A 21,135-nucleotide genomic window follows, 5' to 3' on the forward strand; every position below is an offset into this window, starting at 1 on the left:
GGCCGGACGGCGGGTAGAAGCCCTTCATGATTTGCAAGGCAATTACGTTTGGTTTCAGGAATGCAAGAAAGGACTACATCACAGCCAAGTACATCGAGAGGAGATACGCAAGGAAGAAGCACGCGGATAACGCGGCGAAGCTTCACAGTCTTTGCGAGGCCGTCAAAACGAGAGATATTTTTGGATTGCTCCAAGCTTATGCTGATGGTGTGGATCTTACGGAAAAAATCCCACTGGCCAACGGACATGTAAGAGTGTGGGTTGTTGCTACTTTAAAAAAAAAAAAAAGGCCGGCCACGGTGGCTCATGCCTGGGATCCAGTACTTTACTTCAGGAGGCCAAGGCGGAGGATCCTTTGAGCTCAGGAGTTTGAGATCAGCCTGGGCACCATAGGGAGGCCCCATCTCTACAAAAAAAAAAAAAAAAAAAAGTAAAATTGGCCAGGCATGGTGGTGTACATTTGTAGTCCCAGCTACTCAGGAGGCTGGGGTGAGAGGAATCGGTTGAGCCCAGAAATTTGAAACTCCAGTGAGCCGTGATTGTGCCACTGGACTCCAGCCTGGCCGACAGAGTGAGACCTTGTCTCAAAAAAAAAGGAAAACTGGGGCACTGTGGCAGGTCTGTGGAATCAGCAGTACTGACCAAAGCTGGGTAATTCTCCAGAGGAAGACGGCACGGAGAGGGGTACTGGGGTAGAATAAACTAGGGTTTTTTCTTTTCAGTAGGAAAATAATTGTATCTATGTTCATGGGGTATGCTGTGATGTTTTTGATCTATGTTTACATCATGGAATGATTACATCAAGCTAGCTAACATATCCATTACCTCACAGGCTCATCCATTTTTAATGGAGAGCACATTTAAAATCGACTCAGTTTTGAAATAGACGCTATGTAGTCTTACCTGGAGTCACCAGGCTTTGTAGTAGATCTGCAGGATTTATTCTCCTTGTCTAAAACTTTGTACCCACCTAGTGGTTTATTCTTACACCAAAAATGTAATGCCAGCTCTGGAAAGAAAACCCATCTCCAGGTGGAGGAGAAGACATCTCAGAAGCTAGGCAGCCTGAGAGGGACCCCTCATCTGCAAGCAGGTTTAACCTGAGCTTCATGCTAACGAGAGAAGCTCTCTGAGAGGGGCGGTTCCCTGGAACCCACACCCCACTGTGCTCCCCCTCAGAGGGAATAGAGTAGGAGCAAGACCCCTCCTTTCCTGGGGGAGCTGTCTTGAGAGGGTGGGCATCCAGCTGGAGTGGGTTTGCAGTAACATACCAGCACCCAAGTGGGGTGGCATGTGTCCAGATTCTGGTCCACAAATACCCTGTAGATGCACATTTGGTCCCCTGGAACCTCCTGACCTCAGGACTGGGCTGGCTGCCTATCAGCAAGGATGCCTCACGGCTGCAGCATCTTTCTCTTGGTAACAGGCATGTCCGTGCAGGCTCTGAGCTGGTCCCACTCTCTCCCCATCCCCAGAAAGAACTCATGCCCACCAATGCAGTGTGGAGGGTGCCCAGCACTGAGCTGTGCTGCCGCCAGAGGGCCCAGCAGGCAGGGCAGGCGGCCTGGGAAGCACCTTCCTTTGCCCTCACCTCCTGTCTTCTGTATCTGTCCTTCTCCTCTGGTTCTCTCACCCACCCACCTGCTGAAACAATCCTTGTTCATCTCTTCTCCCCCACCTGCCAGGTGTACTTTCAGAAAAGGCAGTGGAGTTGGGGAATCCCCAGTATGAGTTGGAGACAGTGCAGTTATTAGCATTCGTAGCCTTGTCTGTAAGTGTAGAACGCAAAACTTTAAGCCTGCTTAAGAAACATATGTTTCTACTCAAGGAGCAGGTAAAGAGATTGGATTGTAGGTGGCCTGGGGGACCTTCCTGGATCCTTTGAACAAGATTCTTGCTTGCAGGCAGGGATCTGCCTTGTGGTGCTGATGCAGGGATGGGGACAGGTCGATTGAGAGGACTTAGAAATGAAACTCCTGAACTTCTCATTTATTTCCCATGGAGTCAGGAGAAACAGGACGAATCTCCAAATTGCACGTTCCCAAGGGCAAAGAGCTTGTGTAGAGATTAAAGAGACTCTATGTAAGAGATAAGTTTCTCGAAGGGAAAGATAAAAGACTTTTGGAAGAGTTGTACACGATTTCACCGGTGTTGGACACAGAATTGAATGCTCCCATTAGAATTCTGGAATGCCTTTGTTTGGTTTTTCAGGAGCCGGATGAAACGGCCCTCCACCTTGCAGTCAGATCCGTGGATCGAACCTCTCTTCACATTGTAGACTTTTTAGTTCAGAACAGGTAGGTGTTCTGAAATTAAGGGAGGCACTCGTTTTCTCCTTGGTATTTCTGGGGAAGGAATCGGACGCTGCCTCATCGCTTCTGATGTGTTGTCAGGAGAACCTTCCCAGTTCTAAACATGAATTAAAGACAGAAAAAGGACTGCCAGGTGTGAGGTACTCCATGGCAATCCTTTAAAAAAGCACTAGAAACTCTTTTGTGGTAATTGCAGGGTCCAACTTCTAGTGTCTGGTACTCAGGGAGACACCAAGTAGATATGGCTACTGAACTTGGGGACCCCATGACCACCCTCTGTGCACAGGGGCCGTCCTCGCCTCATCCTGTGAGCCAGGTCATCGTACTGCGCAAGCAGTGTCCTGAGCAGTAGGGAGGTAGCAGGCAAGGAGGGATCCACACATTAGCCATGGTCTGAGCCAGAGATTAGAAACCAGAGCACTGGATTATGGGTGTTTTGTTTGGGTCGAGAAGTTGTTTTTATGCTTTGATTAGAAATGGCCTTTAGAGATGTGCACAGGCAGTTTACCACAGATCTGGGAGTCCCCGTGGTTTGGGGCATATTGCTTCAGTCATGTGTTACCTGCCTGGCAGCTGAAGGCTGGACTTCAAGACCCCTCAACGTGTATTTTGACTCCCTGATCGTGGTTTGAGCCATGTGTGTACTGGAGGAGGAGGAGGTGCTGTTAAAAGCCACAGAAATTGCTCCAAAGGAAATGGAAAATTCCAAAATGCAAAAGCCATGGGATAGTTTGCATTTTGTGTCCTCTGCTTTTTCCTCCCATTTCTGAGCAGAGGAGTGAAGAAATGGCCAGAAAGTAGGGGAGTGTGGGGTGGTCAACCCCAAGACCTGCAGCTTCTTCCTGAGGAGGCTGAGTTCACTGGACTCGTGGTGGAAGCTGCCCTGATGCCCCATCTCTGAGTGCCAGCCCGGCTCCTAGAACGCAGCAGGGGTTTCGTAAACATTTGGTTGATAGCTGCGTGATGCCTCTCCCTCCATGCACATTTTCAGGGGGCAGGAGAGGGAAGGTCCCAGTTTCTTTTTTTCCAGAGTGGAAGGAGGACAAAAGTGGGGGAGAATTCTGAAAATGAAACACACCCCCCGCTCCCCATGCCCACAATTTGGTGAAAAAGAAACTCCTTTTTTGATATTGAAAATGTAATTGGTTTCCTTCTCATGGAAGCAGCAGGTGCCACTTCCTGAGATCGCCTTTCTGTCTCCACTTTGTGCAGGGGCACAAAGCTCACTGCCCCTCCTCAGAATGTGACAGTGGCCATGTTTGCTAGGATTGAGGGCCTGTCCCATGTCTGCCAAGCCTGAGCACCTTTTGTGGGTGACCTGGTCTTGTGATATGTTGGAAGAACTTTTGAAAATCTCAAGATTCCCCTTTAGCCTGTTTTCAGAGGGTATTCCCAGGGCAAACAGGCCGAGGAGCCTGGGGACTCTGGGCTTTGGGAAAGTGACTTTTCCCTTTCCTGGAGGGAATATCAAATAATGATAGAGAAAAGCTCAGCCTCCGTCCTCCCGTGGGACAGGATGGATGAGTCACACAGGCATCCAGAGGCCCTGCATCCAGCACAGCTGGCCGGCCTAGCACAGCAGCCTCGGCGCAGCCAGTGGGACGTGAGAAGGACGCTGGGCTCTAGGTTCACCCCGGTAGTGCACTGCCCCACCTTGGCCCCACATGCTCAGCAACAACAGGGATGCCCCCCTCCCCTTTTGACCTCTTCTGCCATCATCGTGTTATTTCCCTGATGACCTTCTGCTAAGGCTTCCCCAGCCATGTAGGCAGGGACGGTGCCAGGTCCCACCACCTTGGCGATGATTTACAGAAACCGTTCACTCGGGGACTGTCTGCCTTTCCTGTGCCCGTAGCCCAGGCTCCCTGCCGGGCAGTCCCTGGTCGTCCAGCCTGTGACACACTATGCTCTCTCTCTGTTCCTGTTCTCGGGCAGTGGGAACCTGGATAAACAGACAGGGAAAGGCAGCACAGCCCTGCACTACTGCTGCCTGACCGACAATGCCGAGTGCCTCAAGTTGCTCCTGCGGGGGAAGGCCTCCATCGAGATAGGTGAGTGGGCCCGGGCCCCGGGGGTGGGCTCAGCTGCACCCTGGCCTCTGCCTCCTGTCTGCCATCCAAGCGCTGCTCTTGGAAACAGGGCCAACCCTGTGGGCTCTTGTTAGTGCCAAAGAGAAGGAGAACCTACCGCTAATGAGAAAGAGCCTCTCCCTGCCTGTTCCACGAGGCCGCATTCACCATCTGTTACTTAGACTTTGGGCGCGTTTACAGGCATTTTACAGATCATAAGACAAGCAAAGGGTGGGTCTTGCAGCTCTCACGGATGCCAGGTGAATTTGGACAAGGTTGGGGAATTTTGACCTGTTCACATACCCTGAGTCTACTCACCCCCACCTGAGGCCACACTTGGCCCCTTTCTTGGCTCTGGGTTTAGACGGATTACAGGGGGAGATGCTGTTTACTGCCCTCTCCTTTCATTTGCACCACTGCTTCCTCCATGAAGGGCCCTGGTTGTTACTTGGCCCCGGTCCCTCCCTCTCTCGAGGACCCCGACATGCCAACAGCCAAGGCACAGTTGTGCCTTGAGAGCATCCAGCTGTTGTCCCCTCAGGAGGAAGTATTTTTGAAGGACTGTTAAATAAAGAGGAAAGAATAGAAAAAAGACACACATCTGCCTGAGAGCCGTGCTTATCATTAAAAAACTAATAATCAGACCTCATTGACTGAGGCTTATTTAGAAGAAATTATAGGCCGGGTGCAGTGGCTCACGAGGTCAAGAGATCGAGACCATCTGGCCAACATGGTGAAACCCTGTCTCCACTAAAAATACAAAAATTAGCCGGGTATGGTGGCGCGCACCTGTAGGCCCAGCTACTTGGGAGGCTGAGGCAGGAGAATCACTTGAACCCGGGAGGCGGAGGTTGCAGTGAGCTGAGATTGCACCATTGCACTCCAGCCTGGCAACAGAGCAAGACTCCATCTCAAAAAAAAAAAAATAAATAAAGTATATACTTTCAGGGTTTATAGACTGCTTGAGAGAAGGTTTAAAAGTTTGTTATATTGCAGTGCATGGAAATAGGTGAGCAGTGCTTTTCGTTAGAGGTTTATGATGAATCGCTTTATTCAATGAGTTACAGTTTGGATGTGGATTTTAATTAGGTGGCTGCTTCAACAGTTTTTGTTTTTGTTTTTGTTTTTTGTTTTTTTTGAGGCAGAGTCTCGCTCTGTCACCAAGGCTAGAGTGCAGTGGCACAATCTCGGCTCACTGCAACCTCTGCCTCCCAGGTTCAAGCGATTCTTCTGCCTCAGCCTCCTGAGTAGCTGGGACCACAGGCATGTGCCACCACGCCTGGCTAATCTTTATATTTTTAGTAGAGACGGGGTTTCACCATGTTGGCCAGGCTGGTCTCGAACTCCTGACCTCAAATGATCCACCCACCTCTGCCTCCCAAAGTGCTGGGATTACAGGCGTGAGCCACTGCGCCTGGCCAGTTTTAGTTTCTTGATTAGTTCAAACTTCATCTTTTAAAGTTTTACCTTCTGTATTTAGCTGTAGTTCTATACAATTACAAGATACATTCAGCCTCGACTAGGTCAAACTCACTGTGGATTTCATTAACCAGGCCCAATTTAATTTAGTGCTGCCTTTCTGTTCCTTTTAAAAATTGTCCTGGATGTCAGGCCTTTGCTGGGTTTTGCCTTAACGCCTCCTTTGCTCGCCCTTGAATTTTAGCAAACGAGTCAGGAGAGACTCCGCTGGACATTGCCAAGCGCCTCAAGCACGAGCACTGTGAGGAGCTGGTGAGTCTCCCACCACAAGGACGGGGTGGGGCACCTGTCACGGGACAGGGAGCCAAGCCTGTCCTCCTTGGGCAGGGTTTGCTGTGAACCAGTGTCCTGAGCAGAGCTCAGTGTTTCTGATGGGATGAGCCGAGAATCAGCCTGCCTTGGAGAAGGTATGCTAGGGAGTCTACAGGGAAACCTAGGGGGACCCACCCCTCGCAGTGAGACTTGGGGTGTGAGTCAGTGTTTGCTGGTTGGCCGTGTTGGTAACATCACTGCTGTGGTGGGACAACTGGAACAGAGGCCCGAGGCCACCACAAGGGCCTGCTCTCTGGCCTCCGTAAGCTGTTTACTTGCTACTTTGCAGGACATCAAGGCCAACCTCCTTTCTTTGTTCCTCAGCCCCAGATCATGTGGGTTGCTCAATACCATCTTTTCCTGTTCTGGAAGAAAAGACAATGTAGACAGTAGAAAGAGCCCACCAGGCCAGGCAGCCCTGGCCTTGCCGGGGGCTCCCCAGCTTGGCTTGGGAAGGAAACTCTCTTAGGCTGTTTCCTTATTTCTACAGTGCAGTCAGTTATACCAGTATATAAGGTTGTTGTGAGAATTATTATCAAATGCTGTAAAGCAGTTGACACACAGCGCTCAGTAAATAGATTAAGGCCAGGCACAGTGACTCACGCCTTGTAATCCCAAAGCTTTGGGAGGCTAAGGCAGGGGATGATGGCTTGAGGCCAGGAATTCGAGATCAGCCTGGCAACATAGTGAGACTCTGTCTCTGCAAATGATTTAAAAACTAGCAACGCATGGTGGAGCATGCCTGTAGCCCCAGTTACCCAGGAGGCTAAGGTAGGAGGATCACTTTGAGACCAGGAGTTCAAAGCTACAGTGAGCCATAATGGTGTCACTGCACTCCAGCCTGGGCAACAGAGCAACACGCCATCTCCACAAAAACGTTTCGAATTAGCTGGGTGTGGTGGCACGCACCTGCAGTCCCAGCTACTGGGGAAGTTGAGGTGGGAGAATGGACTTGAGCTTAGGAGTTCAAGACTACAGTGAGCCATGATTATGCCAATGCGCACCAGCCTGGGGGAGAAAAAAAAGAACTATTAATAATAAATGCTATACAAGTGTAAGATAAGTAACAGGTCCTCTTTCTAAGCACTGTACATCCACGAGCTCATTTAATCTTTTTTTTTTTTTTTTTTTTTGAGATGGAGTCTTACTCTGTCACCCAGGCTGGAGTGCAGTGACATGATCTCTGTTCACTGCAACCTCCGCCTCCCAGGTTTAAGCAATTCTTCTGCCTCAGCCTCCTGAGTAACTCGGATTACAGGCACCTGCCACCACGCCCAGCTAATTTTTATATTTTTAATAGAGACGGGGTTTCACCATATTGGTCAGGCTGGTCTTGAACTCCTGACCTCAAGCAATCCACCCGCCTTGGCCTCCCAAAGTGCTGGGATTATAGGCGTGAGCCACCACACCTGACCTGTCTCATTTAATCTTCATAGCTACCTTATGACATAGTTTCTGCTGTTGTCCTCATTTTACAGATGAGGACACAGGCACAGGAAAGTTAAGTGACTTGGCCAGGGTCATGTAGCTACTATCTGGTTATGGGGGAAATTAAGCCCTGAGGTCCTGAGACACCCATAGTGTGTAACGAATTAACTTCTCTTCTGCACATGTAGAACGGAACTAGCTATCTACCTTCCTTGAGAGAACTGAGAAAATAGCCACACAGATCATTTTCTACAGCGTTTAATTCTCTCATCCTGGTTGAAAAGGCTGGGTTTACAGTGAATGAGCACATTCATTCTCCTGGGGTTGAGCTTTCTCCCATATGGAGTATGGATACTTGCAGGCTGATCAGCATCCTTTAGATCTCAAATATCCTTTGCCTGTTGTTTTGGGGAAAACTCTAGCCCTGTTTTTTCTGTACGGTTACACTGTTGTCACAACAAGCAATACAGAAGCAGACTGCTGTGACCAAAGGTGTGGGGTTCTCCCCCGACCCCATACACCAATTGTAGTCGCCTGACAGGTTCTTCTTGCCTGCTGCATAGATTAAACCCAATTCATGAGACAGTGTGATTGCAGCAGAGAAAGAGTTTAATTATGGCAAGCTGGCTGAGCGGTGGGAGGACAGGAATTATTACTCAACTGTGTCCCCACAAAGGCTCAGAGGTTAGGGTTTTTCAAGGATGGTTGGATGGGCAAGAGGGCTAGGAAATGGGTGCTGCTGATTGGTTGGGAGTGAAATCATAAGAGTATGAGAAACAGCCCTTGTCCACTGCATATCATCTCGGGGGGGCCACGGGACTGTTTGAGTCATGAGTCAGGTTCAGTGGAGTCAGTTGGTCACCAGGATGCAAAAGTCTGAAAAAATATCTCAAAAGATCAGTCTTAGGATATGTTATCTATAGGATCAATTGGGGAAGTCACAAGTATCGTGGCCTCTGGTGCAGTAAACAATTTTTTTAAAAAAAGACAGTGTCTCTCTGTTGCCCAGGTTGGAGTGCAATGGCGTGCTTGTGGACAGCCTCAAACTCCTGAGCTCAAGCGATCCTCTCACCTCAGCCTCCCGAGTAGCTGAGACTACAGATGCATGCCACCACGCCTGGCTAAAAAAGTTTTTAAATTTTTTGTAGTGATGGGGTCTCGCTATGTTGCCTGGGCTGGTCTCAAACTCCTGGCTCAAGCAGTCCTCCTGCCTCAGCTTCCCAAAATGCTGGGATTACAGGTGTGAGCCACTCCACTGGATGGTAAACAATTACATTAATAGAGAGGCAAGCTGCACCTACATTTTAGCAGAATTCAGACCCTTCCCATAATCCTAATCTTGAGGCCTTTCATTAGTCTTCCAAAGGCACTTTCAAGTTCCCTAACAAGAACAGAGTCAGTTTTCACATGCACACGTATGTTTATTGCGGCACTATTCACAATAGCAGAGAGACTTGGAACCAACCCAAATGTCTGTCAGTGATAGACTGGATTAAGAAAATGTGGCACATATACACCGTGCAATACTGTGCAGCCATAAAAAAGGATGAGTTCATGTCCTTTGTAGGGACATGAATGAAACTGGAAACCATCATTCTGAGCAAATTATTGCAAGGACAGAAAACCAAACACCGCACGTTCTCACTCATAGGTGGGAACTGAACAGTGAGAACACTTGGACACAGGGCGGGGAACATCACAAACCGGGGCCTGTCATGGGGTGGGGAGACGGGGGAGGGATAGCATCAGGAGATATACTTAATGTAAATGATGAGTTAATGGGTGCAGCACACCAACATGGCACATTTGTACGTATGTAACAAATCTGCACGTTGTGCACATGTACCCTAGAACTTAAAGTATAATAAAAAAATAAATTAATTAAAAAGAAAAGAACAGAGTCAGTTTTAGGGAGGGACTATTACCATCCTTGATTCAAACTTACACCACAAACTAAATTCTTCCCATGGTTAGCTTGGCCTGTGCCCAGGAATAAGGGAGGACAGCCAGCCTGTGAGGCCAGAAGCAAGATGGAGTCAGCCATGCTAGACTTTTTTCACTACCATGTTCTTGTAAAGGCGGTTTCACAAGCAGCAGACACCAGCTGGCTGTCCTCCAGTTCAATTAGACACTATCTACTTGGAGGTAGTGTTAGATCCCACAGGCTGGGGGCTCAGTCCCCAAGACTGTCTTCCACCCCAGACACCAGTCACAAATCAACCTCCAGAACTTCTGACCAACCGGCTTCAAGTTGGGGTTCCCACAGCCCCCTCTTTGGGTTTGAATAATTTGCTGGAGTGGCTCATAGAACTCAGGGAGACACTTGTGTTTACTGGTTTATTATAAAGGATATTGCAAAGCATACAGATAGAGAGGTGCGTAGGGCAAGGTGTGGGGGAGGGGACATGGGGGTTCCATGCCCTCCCTGGGTGCCACCCTCCAGGACCCTCTGTGTGGTTTGCCATCCTGAAGCTCGAGAACCAGTCCTCTTTGATTTTTATGGAAGCTTCTTGGTGTCAGCATCTCTTCCCCCAGGGTACAGGGTGAGACCCTCTCTGGGGAGGGCCTTAAGACCCACAGTCAGAAAAGTGGGGGACGATAAGAGTCCTGCCTTGGGGCAGGAGAAGTTCAGAGAGATTCTGTCTCCTGAGGCCTTAACACTCCATGTTATAACCGAAGACTGTAACAAGGGATTTGAGAGTTACGAGCCGGGAACTGTGGATGAAAACTAATACAGTTTACAAAGCCTTTGCTGGGACATACCAGCTTTGAGTTTCAAGGTTACGCTGTGAAGTAGGCAGAGGGGCGGGGGCTTCACCTGAGACCCAGAGATTTCCATGCATTTGCCTTGGACTAGAAGGCAGGCCTCCTGCCTGCACACTTCAGTGGGTCCAGATGCATGGCCGAGTGTATGAGCAACAGCACTGACCATCCCTCTGTTCTCTCAGCTGACCCAAGCCTTATCTGGAAGATTTAATTCTCACGTTCACGTTGAATATGAATGGCGACTACTCCACGAAGACCTGGATGAAAGTGATGACGACATGGATGAGAAATTGCAGGTCTGTGCCAGGTTGCTAACCATTAAGAGTTTTGATCAGCTTCATCCAGAACAGTGTGGGTCCTAATCTGTAATTAAGGCAGAAAGCTGTTTTATAGAAATGAAAATGTAGCTTACTTTATGCTTTCATTGATCTCAGTAGGCTCTTGGTTTTACCCTTCCCACTACCATCTCCTGTCTCCCAGCTCCTGCACCCATTAATTTAAAGGAATGGCTAATTATGTACTTATAGGCAGCCTTTTGCTACAAAGGAAAGGTGTGTGTGGCGGGGGGGTTGATTCCAGTGGATTTAGAGGAAGGTCTCTTGCTATGGAGTCATGTCATAAAGAGCCAGATTTCCCCCAGTCTAGGTGATCACATTCTCCTGGTTGATCTTATAAAAACATCAACTGAAATCATCAGACGACCTTTAGAGCTCACTGGGTCCAACCCCTTCCTTTATCAGTTTGGGATATTGAAGCCTCAAGAGAAAAGTTGACTTGGCCAAAGTGAAGCAGCTATTTAGAGGCAGGCTTGGGACTGCACGAAGGCTCTTGCCTCCTCCTCCAGCTCCCTTCTTACCATCCTCACTGCTTCATACGCAGGGGTGAGCCCCAGGAAGGTTGCTGCCTTCACGCAGGACTTGGAGCTGAGAGTCAGACTTAGGCCTTGTGACCCAAAGCCCTGGCTCCTAGCCGCGACCCACTTCCATCTGTCCTTCAGCATGGTGCTTCGAGGCATGTCTGGAATGTGCTCTGTGCTGAATTAGTGGCAAATGCCACATTAAACACATTTTCATGGTTTGGCTTTTTTTTTTTTCTGTAATGCATTAATGTTCTGATGTGTATTGAGGATATCTAATTAGATGGATGGATAGGTCAGTAGGTAACCAGATGGCATTTCTGAAACCTGTTGGACTGTCTGCTCATGGAGTTAACATCCATACTTAACTGCTTCTTAGAATACAGAATAAGAAATTACTTCACTGAGTTAGCTACAAAACACTGTCAAAGTGAGAAGAGTTGACTGATTTCATACTTAACCTGCCTTAAAAAAAAAAAGCTGGAAGCAGTCTGCCCCAGCCTGCCTCTTCATCAAGCGGTCAGATGCCACATTCCCATTTGATGAGCAGTGATGAAGCAGGTTGCATAGTCCAAGGAAAAGCACAAGAGCAGGGGCTGGTGTGGAGTCCTAAGACTCATCCACGCTGCTCACCTGATTCTCAGCAGACAGCAGCCGTGGGCTTTGCAATTTAGAAATATGTGTGAAGAACCACTGGGTGCTTAGTTCTGCACACCTGAGCTGGGTTTGAACCATTGGTTTGTCCAGAACCTAGAAAGGGTTGGTGGTCCTGTGAGGGAGAGGCAGGGCTGCCACAGTTCATACTGAGCACCTGCTAAGCACCTGGCATTGTGCTAGAAAAGCACTCGTCATATCCAGTGAACAGACAAGAATGTGGTCAGCAAGGTTGAGTCATTTGCTCACAATCATACCTAGTTTAATGAAGCTGGCATTTGAAATAGAAGTTAGGTCTAAGTTACCTGAGTCATCATTCCATGCATTCACTTCCAAGAAAGCACATGACCGGCCGAGCGCGGGGGCTCACGCCTGTAATCCCAGCACTTTGGGAGGCTGAGGCGGGCGGATCACGAGGTCAGGAGATTGAGACCATCTTGGCTAACACGGTGAAACCCCGTCTCTACTAAAAAATACAAAAAAATTAGCCGGGCTTGGTGGTGGGTGGGGGGGCGCCTGTAGTCCCAGCTACTCAGGAGGCTGAGGCAGGAGAATGGCGTAAACCCGGGAGGCGGAGCTTGCAGTGAGCTGGGATTGCGCCACTGCATTCCAGCCTGGGCAACAGAGAGAGACTCTGTCTCAAAAAAAAAAAAAACCATATAACCTTCAGGGGGGAGCAGGGGTGGCCAAACTCTTAAAGGGCCAGATAGTAAATATTTTAAGCTCTACGGGCCTAAAGCGTCACAGTCCATGTTAACAATTACTCAGCTCTGCCAGGATGGCTCAAAAGCAGCCTTAGACAGTATCTAAATGACAGGACATGGCTATGTTCCAATAAAACTTTACTGACAAAAAACAGGTGGTAGTCCATAGGCCACTGTTTGCTAACCCTAATTTGGAGGAATCTCAGGAGCTCCTGTTCATATGGGAGGAAAACATCGATCTCTGCTGAATGAGCCATATAGCTGTTGGAGATTGAGTGCAGCGGGCTGGCCAGAGCTGGCCACCCTGTGGGGTAGCATAAGAAGGCATGTTTGGGAAGGGGAACTTCAGGGAAAATGCTGACTTAGGTTGAGATAACTTCGACTCATAAGATAAATAGCTTATATTTTAAATCCATCACAGAATGGAGAATTTTAACCTGTAATTAACAGATTTTTTGGTATGTGTGTGTTTACTAGTCAGTTCTTACACTGCTGTAAAGAAATACCTGAGACTGGGTAGTTTATAAAAGAAAGAGGTCTAATTCACTCACACCTCCACATGGCTGGGAAACATACAATCATGGCAGAAGGGGAAGCAGGCACCTCTTCACAGGGTGGCAGGAGAGAGAGCAAGCGAGAGCAGGGAAAACTGCCTTATAAAACCATTAGGTCTTGTGAGAACTCACTATCCCAAGAACAGCAGAGGGGAACCGCTGCCATGATCCAGTCACCTCCTTCCCTCGACAAGTGAAGATTACAATTCGAGGTGAGATTTGGGTGGGGACACAAAGCCAAACCATATCAGTGTGTGTTTCCTTCACGAGACACAAGGAGGAGTGAATTTTCACTCTTGCAGCTCTCACGCAACTTGTAGCTCTCAGGCAACAGTTGAGAGCTCAAATGGTACCAGGCCCAGCAGAGTTGGTGTCAGTGAGGTTTTCACCCCTGTGTTGAATGTTATCACCAGGAGCAGTTCATATTTGTCTCACACGCCTCTGCCCCAATGTTCTCCTGCAGCCCAGTCCCAACCGGCGGGAAGACCGGCCCATCAGCTTCTACCAGCTGGGCTCCAACCAGCTTCAGTCTAACGCTGTATCTTTGGCCAGAGATGCTGCAAACCTTGCCAAGGAGAAGCAGAGGGCTTTCATGCCCAGCATCTTGCAGAATGAGACTTACGGAGCCCTCCTGAGTGGCAGCCCACCTCCCGCCCAGCCTGCAGCCCCCAGCACCACCAGCGCCCCCCCGCTTCCTCCACGGAATGTTGGCAAAGGTATGAAGCTGTCCGTCATCCCTGTGAATATATAGAGGGTCTTGTTTTGTGGTTTGGGAAGTTTGCAGCTGCCCTGCCTCCAACTCAGTGACCTTTGGGCTCTTTTGTTTTGTAGTTATTTTCTGTTTGCTTCCTAAAGGGATTCCATCATTCTTATCAGGCCAGATGGTGGTAGAGTCTCTTGATTTGACTCTTATTCTGGGCAGAGTTGTGGCATCTGCCTGGCTTGGGTAACATGGGAACTCCCCCAGGGCAGCCTGAGGTGGCCAACTGGGCTCCCGGGGCTGGGCCAAAAGACACACTCCTTCAGGTCTCCCCTCTGCACCCTTCTGTTTACCTTTCTCCACTCCTTCCCAGGCCTTCATTCTTCCTTTTTATTTCTCTTCTGCCTTCATCTGGTCCAGCTCATGGCCCCTGCGATTACTTCTTACCCATGATCCCCATAAAAGATATTGGGGAACGATGCTCGGCCTAATTGTAAAATACAAAACCAGCCCTGTGGGCCTACCAGTGTCTTAGGGCAAAAAGCATGCTTTTCTTACCTCAGCTGTAACCTGGAGGTTTTGACTCAACAGGTGACACTTTCTGTTTTTAGAAATACGCAAACCAAAGCTCTCAGAAGTTAAGTAATTTGTTCATTCCTGAAGAGCAGCTGGCTACGGTGCTTCTTGAAGGCAGGTCCGGCGAGTGACCCACTCAGCTCTGGGCTGAGCTCCAGTCGTGGCCATGGCCTTCAGAGGGTTTCCCACATGAAGGAGGCTGCTGAGACTTTGATGCGGGGCGGGGGGCCCAGGAAGGACAAGAGTCTGCACAGAGCATGTATCCAGGCATTGTGGCCGCTGTGAGCCGCTGATGGAGTGGAGCCCACGTCCCCAAATACATCCCAAACTGTCCTTATGTGGTAGCTGCTAGCTGGGCAGGCTGGGTCGGTGCGTGAGGGTGGCTGAGGCCGGGAGACCTGGCCCAGGGCTGAGCAGACGGCTGCAGCTTTGTGCTGCACGTACACTCGGCTGTGCTGCTGGGCCCATCTTCCCTGCCGTCCTGGGTGTCTCACAGACCCTCACACGGCTCTGCCCCTGTCATTCAGGGAGGCCCAGAGAAGTGACAGTGAACCTGTCATGTGAGTCACTGAGTCATACCCCGAAGAACAAACCTGCTGAGAGCAGACCTTCCCCCAGGCAGGCCCAGAAGCCAGCTGCTTGCTGTCCCCACACAGCCCACATCCCAGACCGCGTCCATCCCTGGCTTGATGAGGACGTCCCTGAGCACAGAAGGCAGCTACAAGATGAAGCCACACAGTCGCATCTCCTCCCTGTCAAACCCCCAGGCTGGCTGGTCGGGGCCCAGGGTGGGTGCGGCTTTCTCCCCGCCTCTCCCAGATCCTGCAGGCAGGCATCAATTTTCTACGGCCCACAATCAAGATGATTTTGATCATCCTCCTTCCCAGCAGTGGCTTTTGCTGACTGTGTGTGTCACGGGAGGAAAGATTTTATTTTGTTCCACTGGGTCATGGAGGGGTAAACTCTTAATCTCCTGGTTTCCCGAAGTCTTGGAATTCAAGGGTTTTGATTTTTTTTCCTTTTTCTTTTTGCCGTTCCTGTCCCTAGCATCATTTCTTCTTCCAGTAATGTAGGTCATACCCCTTACCTGCCATCTCCACCATTCTCTGTGTAGCCCACATGTGGTCTTGGATGGAATTCTCACATGCAGATAAATAGCAAATGGAGTTGACAGTGTCAGCCTTGCATTTGGGGCGGACCTGGCTCCCCAGGGGAGGAGCTCGAAGGCTTCCTCTGGACCCAGTGGCCTGGCCCATTTCTAGGCCTAGCCTTTGCCCTACAGGCCGTGCACAGCCTCCAACATGGGGTCACACCTAGCACCTGGGCCCTGTGCACCTGAGCTTGGAGGTTTGTGAGGCAGAAGAAGGGCTTGTGACCTGGAAAATGCCATCTCTTGTGGGTCACCTGAACCTGATTGGTGTCATCTGTGTCTGCTTCCAGCCAGAAATATGTTTGCGGGAGGGAGGGAGAGAGAGCCCCTCCTCTAGTGTCTGATTTGCACTCTGCCCCCAACCTGTGCCAGCTGGGCACACGGTGTTCCTCTTCACATGGTGGTGACTCCCACAGCCCATGGGAAGGAGTCGGTGGGAGGGTGGAGAGGAGCAGAAGTTCCAGAAGCTCCAAGTGCAGTGTTCGCAAGAGAACATTGTGACTGTTTATTTCCTTCTTCAAATGATACTGATATTTGATAAATAAACTCAGGAATTTTAAATTTCATGGATTGAGAAAACCTGCTGAGAATAGTCCTTGGAGCCTCTTCGGTTTCGCGAGTATCAGTGTCTATCTTCCACATGCCGGAGACAGGAGTAAAAGCATTGAGGGTTCTAGGTAGAAGGGTCATACTGACCGTTTCATAAGGGGGAGGATCAATAACGCAGTGTTCTGTTTCTGTTTTTGTTCGTGTGTGCACGTGTATGTGTGCGTGCATGCGTCTGTGTGCATGCGTGTGGGTTCAGTTCAGACAGCCTCCTCTGCTAACACCCTGTGGAAGACAAACTCTGTAAGTGTGGACGGTGGAAGCCGGCAGCGATCTTCGTCAGATCCGCCAGCTGTCCATCCACCGCTGCCCCCTCTTCGCGTGACATCTACCAGTACGTTTTTTTCCTTTTTCCTTTCTTGCCCGTGGGCTTTGTAGATCTGGATGGCGGGGGGTGCTCTCTGGAGCCACACAGCTGCCAGCACAGACACGTGCCAAGTGCCCCGTGTTGTATGGCTCCCTGTGGCTCTTGTGCAGGGCTCTCAGCTCCCCCAGCCTCCTTCGTCACAGCTGCAAACCCCTGCCTGTCCCCACACTGCACCACCAAGTAGCTTCCTCACTCCCTTCCTCTGTCTTCCAAAGCATTTCAGCAACATTTCCTCCTTTACACAGTACCCCAGGGTTTCTTTTTCCTTTGGCCATTTGGTGATTTTCAATATTTTGGGGACAGTCACTTGGATTAGAATCTGGCTTTTTGTTTTTCTTTTCTTTTTCTTTTTTTTTTTTTTTTTGAGACAGAGTCTCACTCCATCGCCCAGGCTGGATGCAATGGCACAATCTTGGCTTGCTGCAACCTCTGCCTCCCGGGTTCAAGAGATCGTCCTGCCTCAGCCTCCCAGGTAGCTGGGATTACAGGAGCCTGCCACCATGCTCAGCTATTTTTTTTTTTTTTTTGTATTTTTAGTAGAGATGGGGTTTCACCATGTTGGCCAGCCTGGTCTCGAACTCCTGACCTCAGGTGATCCACCTGCCTCAGCCTCCCAGAGTTCTGGGATTACAGGCATGATCCATGGTGCCCAGCCTTGTTTTTCTTTTTAAGACAGGGTCTCTCTTTGTCCCCCAGGCTGGAGTGCAGTGGCACAATCATGGCTCACTGCAGCCTCCAACTCCTGGGTTCAAGGGATCCTCCTGCCTTAGCCTCCTGAGTAGCTGGGATTATTGGTGCAAGCGTATTTTTTGTAGAGACAGGGTTTTGCTATGTTGCCCAGGCTCGAATTCCTGGGCTCAAGTGATCCACCCGCCTTGTCCTCCCAAAGTGCTGGGATTACAGGTGTGGGCCACCACGCCCAGCCTGGCATGTTTTCTTTAATATCAACATGTGGTTGAAAGTCCTGAAAACCTTGGGTAAAGAAGCGGGAGGAGGTTTTTAGGAAGAAGTTTTTCTCCAGTGTACAGAACTAAAGTCTTTTTTCACTGGATCAGAGAAGCGAGCCCTGGATGCTGCCCTGTCTCCTGCTGCAGCAGCCCTGGAGTGGGGAGTCCAGCATCTCTGGGCTTCATTGCTTCCAGAGCATGAGAATTCTAGAGCCGAGGTGCTCGTGACTTCCTTAGAGTAAGTTAAAATTAAAAGCAGCCCAGCCCCAGCTAGAGTCAGTGCCATGTGTGCACATGCCGGCAGCAGAGCCGGGAGCAGTGGGTCTGGGAGGGTCTTCAGAGGTTTCCAAGGCGAACACACCAAAGGCCAGAAGGAACCACTTTCCTGCCTCTCCGTCTGGTGGTCCAGGGGCTGCATTTGTGTGCTAGAGTCAGACTTTTGAGTTTTCCTTTAAATTGGAAAAAGGAAACAATAATGATAAAAAGAAAGATCATAAGCTGGATCCCTTCATGTTTCCCCACGCCAGTTTCCTCTCTGTGTAGCTGAAGGCCTCATTCTTCCTGGCTTTTCCTGGCAGAGGGAAACCCAGCGCCTTATGTGTTACCCATCCTGAGGCCCAGTATGATAAGCCCGACATTTAGAGAGGGCTTAATGCCTATCAAGGGAGGAGAGACGGAGGAAGGAGACTTGGACTCACAGCCTCCCTCCAGGTCTTACCAGCTCTGCCACCCTTGACGAGAGCTCTTCCCCTCCGTGGGCCTCAGCCTCCTTGTCTGTAAAACGTAGACACTAAGAAAGCTCTTCACCCACCCACTCCGGAGACTGAGGAGCCGTTACTAAGTTAGTAGCTCCCATCTCTCCTCAGATCCACCCTGCCCAGCAGCCCGATGAAGTGGGTAGGGCCTCATCCCTTTGGCCACAGGTCAGTCGATGTGCAAAGCAGGCCCTGCTTCCCCGGGCAGAGCTGAGGGCCCCGGCCTCCTGCTGTTGGGTCTTTGAGTGGAGAGCAGGAAACTGCTGGCTTTCCCCCAGGGAGTTCTAGCTGAGAAAATACTCACTCACAGGCTGATAGAAAAATTGTCATCCTAACTTTAGGCTCCCAGCTTCCTTATTAGTTTGGAAAGGACTCCCTGCTTCCTCCCTGTGAATGGTTTTCTGAAAACTGGCAAGGAAATAGCAGCAGGTTTTTCCTTAGGAAATAGCAATAAAAAACTGAAGCCCTTCTCAGAAAAGCCTCCAGTGAGGAGGCCTGAGTGGGAAGCCTGGCGGCTGACCCTCTGCACGTCTCTCCCTGTCCTCCGCAGATCCCCTGACCCCCACGCCGCCCCCACCCGTTGCCAAGACGCCCAGCGTAATGGAAGCCTTGAGCCAGCCGAGCAAGCCTGCCCCGCCTGGGATCTCACAGATCAGGCCCCCACCTCTGCCCCCACAGCCGCCCAGCCGCCTCCCGCAGAAGAAGCCTGCGCCGGGGTAAGCCACCCCCAGCCAGCTCGGCCATCCGTGCTCCTGCCCTCTGACCTCACCTGCCCAGGGCTCTGCAGGAATGTTTGCAATCCCCAGGGCTCCTACTCCAGCGTGGGCGCCACATAACTAATTCATCGGGGCTGAAGGGTCTTAAAAATAACTGGAGGATTTTTAGACTGTAAAAATGTCTTACAAATGTACATTTTAAGTCCACAGAATGAATTCAGACAAAGTGTCCTCAACACACAAGGCTTCTGGGTTCTATTTGCTGCTCACCCCCCAGGTGGTCTCTGTTTCTGTTTTCTATTTTCCCAAGGTTGTTTTGAACACATAGACCCTCTGTGGTGTGAGGCGTGGATTTCCCACAAACAAGGACATTGTCCTACCTCACACAATACCACCTGCAAAATCAGGAAATTAACACGGATGTAGAAACACCACCCAATCCTTAGACCCAGGTCAAGCTTAGCTGTTTGTCCAAATAATGCCCCTTGTTGCAGATGGGTCTAGTTTGTGGCTTTTTTTTTTTTTTTTTTTTTTTGAGACTGAGTCTAGCTCTGTCACCCAGGCTGGAGTGCAGTGGCGTGATCTCGGCTCACTGCAAGCTCTGCCTCCAGGGTTCTTGCCATTCTCCTGCCTGAGCCTCCCGAGTAGCTGGGACTACAGGTGCCTCCCACCACGCCTGGCTAATTTTTTGTATTTCTAGTAGAGACGAGGTTTCGCCGTGTTAGCCAGGATGGTCTCGATCTCCTGACCTCGTGATCCACCTGCCTCGGCCTCCCAAAGTGCTGGGATTACAGGCGTGAGCCACTGCACCAGGCCCCAGTTCGTGGCTCTTAATCTGGATCTTTATGGTGGGAAATGGTTCCTTTTAGTGGAAATGATATTTAGAGGCCAAGTTCTGGGGGCTAGGTGGAGAGTCACTGCTCCCACACAGGCCCTCTGAGCTGTTAGAACTTGGAAATATACGCACATGTACATGGATACATACATACACCACTTATCTCTCTATTCCGTATATTTCTGTATTGAAATCCATGAGTTCACATTGACATCTCTGATTTCAGTTGTTCTAGTAACAAACCACACCAGACTGACAGACATGAGGCACAGCCAGTTTATTCTGCTGACAGATTGTCAGGAATTTGGATGGTACTGTGGGGTCTTCGTCTTTTCTCCACAGTGTCTGGAGCCTTCGCTGAAAGGACTCGAAGCCTGGGGGTGGTTGGACACAGGAGGTGACTCGTTGGCTGGGGGTTACGGTCAGAGTCTCTTCACGCCCCCCGTGGTAGCTGACGCTGCCTGTCAGCCAGAGCCTCAGCTGGGCTGTGACCAGAACACCTACATGTCCCTGGCATGGGCTTCCTCATATCACGGTGGCTGGGTCCACGGACAGGTCCCCAGAGAGAGGCCTGGCCCTGGAAGCTGGCACGGAATGACTTCCGCCATACGTCACTGCTCAGTTACAAGCTCAGACACAGTCGGGGCAGAGAGGACTGTGGAGTGGCACAAGGAAGTCATCAGTTCCACCTCTCAATAAAGAATTTGGGGCCAGGCGCCATGGCTCACGCCTGTAATCCCAGTACTTTGGGAGACCAAGGTGGGCGGATCACCTGAGGTCCAGAGTTTGAGACCAGCCTGGCCAACATGGCAAAACCCCACCTCTACTAAAAATACAAAAAAATTAGCTGGGCATGGTGGCATGCACCTGTAATCCCAGCTACTCAGGAGGCTGAGGCAGGAGAATCCCTTGAACCCAGGAGGCGGAGGTTGCAGGGAGCTGAGATCACGTCATTGTACTCCAGCCTGGGCAACAAGAATGAAACTCCATCTCAAAAATAAAAAAATAAAGAATTTGGAGACTAGGCACCATGGCCCACATCTGTAATCCCTGCACTACTGTGTTTTTGTTTTTTTGTTTTGTTTTGTTTTGTTTTTCTTGTGTTTTTTTTCTTTTTTTTTTTTTTTTTTTTTTTTTTTTTTTGAGATGGAGTCTTGCTCTGTCGCCCAGGCTGGAGTGCGGTGGCGCGATCTTGGCTCACTGCAAGTTCCGCTTCCCAGGTTCACACCATTCTCCTGCCTCAGCCTCCCAAGTAGCTGGGACTACAGGTGCCCACCACCACGCCTGGCCAATTTTTTATATTTTTAGTAGAGATGGGGTTTCACCGGGTTAGCCAGGATGGTCTCAAT

At 50.0% G+C, this 21,135-nt stretch overlaps 1 protein-coding gene and 1 long non-coding RNA gene across 23 annotated transcripts in view, besides 3 other annotated features; one reads left to right on the forward strand and one right to left on the reverse strand.

The window, feature by feature from the left end:
• ASAP2 (ArfGAP with SH3 domain, ankyrin repeat and PH domain 2) overlaps positions 1-21,135 on the forward strand; it is a 198,867-nt gene that overhangs the window by 167,885 nt on the left and 9,847 nt on the right. For 12 of the 22 annotated variants that reach the window (XM_011510403.4, XM_011510404.3, XM_011510405.4 and 9 more), the window contains 8 exons: positions 59-248; positions 2,212-2,297; positions 4,248-4,363; positions 6,045-6,112; positions 10,549-10,662; positions 13,598-13,850; positions 16,366-16,500; positions 18,786-18,951. In XM_011510403.4, coding sequence (XP_011508705.1) covers positions 59-248; positions 2,212-2,297; positions 4,248-4,363; positions 6,045-6,112; positions 10,549-10,662; positions 13,598-13,850; positions 16,366-16,500; positions 18,786-18,951 — 1,128 coding nt within the window. Of the gene's footprint in view, positions 1-58; positions 249-2,211; positions 2,298-4,247; positions 4,364-6,044; positions 6,113-10,548; positions 10,663-13,597; positions 13,851-15,028; positions 16,127-16,365; positions 16,501-18,785; positions 18,952-21,135 lie in introns of those variants that run through there. The other 10 variants (XM_011510407.3, XM_047446201.1, XM_047446208.1 and 7 more) reach the window with 2 other exon arrangements.
• Positions 4,032-4,616: an enhancer, noted in NCBI's record as "H3K27ac-H3K4me1 hESC enhancer chr2:9518857-9519441 (GRCh37/hg19 assembly coordinates)". NCBI's record gives its function as "activates a minimal SCP1, AML or CMV promoter by ChIP-STARR-seq in primed H9 embryonic stem cells {active_cell/tissue: H9 hESC(primed)}" and the evidence as "EXISTENCE:reporter gene assay evidence [ECO:0000049][PMID:30033119]".
• Positions 9,924-13,492, reverse strand: LOC124907730 (uncharacterized). Its single transcript, XR_007086203.1, has 2 exons — positions 12,182-13,492; positions 9,924-10,729 (listed from the first exon to the last, which is right to left on the reverse strand). It is a non-coding gene; the product is annotated as an uncharacterized LOC124907730 (long non-coding RNA).
• Positions 18,154-18,791: an enhancer, noted in NCBI's record as "H3K27ac-H3K4me1 hESC enhancer chr2:9532979-9533616 (GRCh37/hg19 assembly coordinates)". NCBI's record gives its function as "activates a minimal SCP1, AML or CMV promoter by ChIP-STARR-seq in naive and primed H9 embryonic stem cells {active_cell/tissue: H9 hESC(naive and primed)}" and the evidence as "EXISTENCE:reporter gene assay evidence [ECO:0000049][PMID:30033119]".
• Positions 18,792-19,429: an enhancer, noted in NCBI's record as "H3K27ac-H3K4me1 hESC enhancer chr2:9533617-9534254 (GRCh37/hg19 assembly coordinates)". NCBI's record gives its function as "activates a minimal SCP1, AML or CMV promoter by ChIP-STARR-seq in naive H9 embryonic stem cells {active_cell/tissue: H9 hESC(naive)}" and the evidence as "EXISTENCE:reporter gene assay evidence [ECO:0000049][PMID:30033119]".

This window comes from Homo sapiens, chromosome 2, assembly GCF_000001405.40.
Source record: "Homo sapiens chromosome 2, GRCh38.p14 Primary Assembly".
In the NCBI taxonomy this organism is placed as follows: Eukaryota; Metazoa; Chordata; class Mammalia; order Primates; family Hominidae; genus Homo; species Homo sapiens.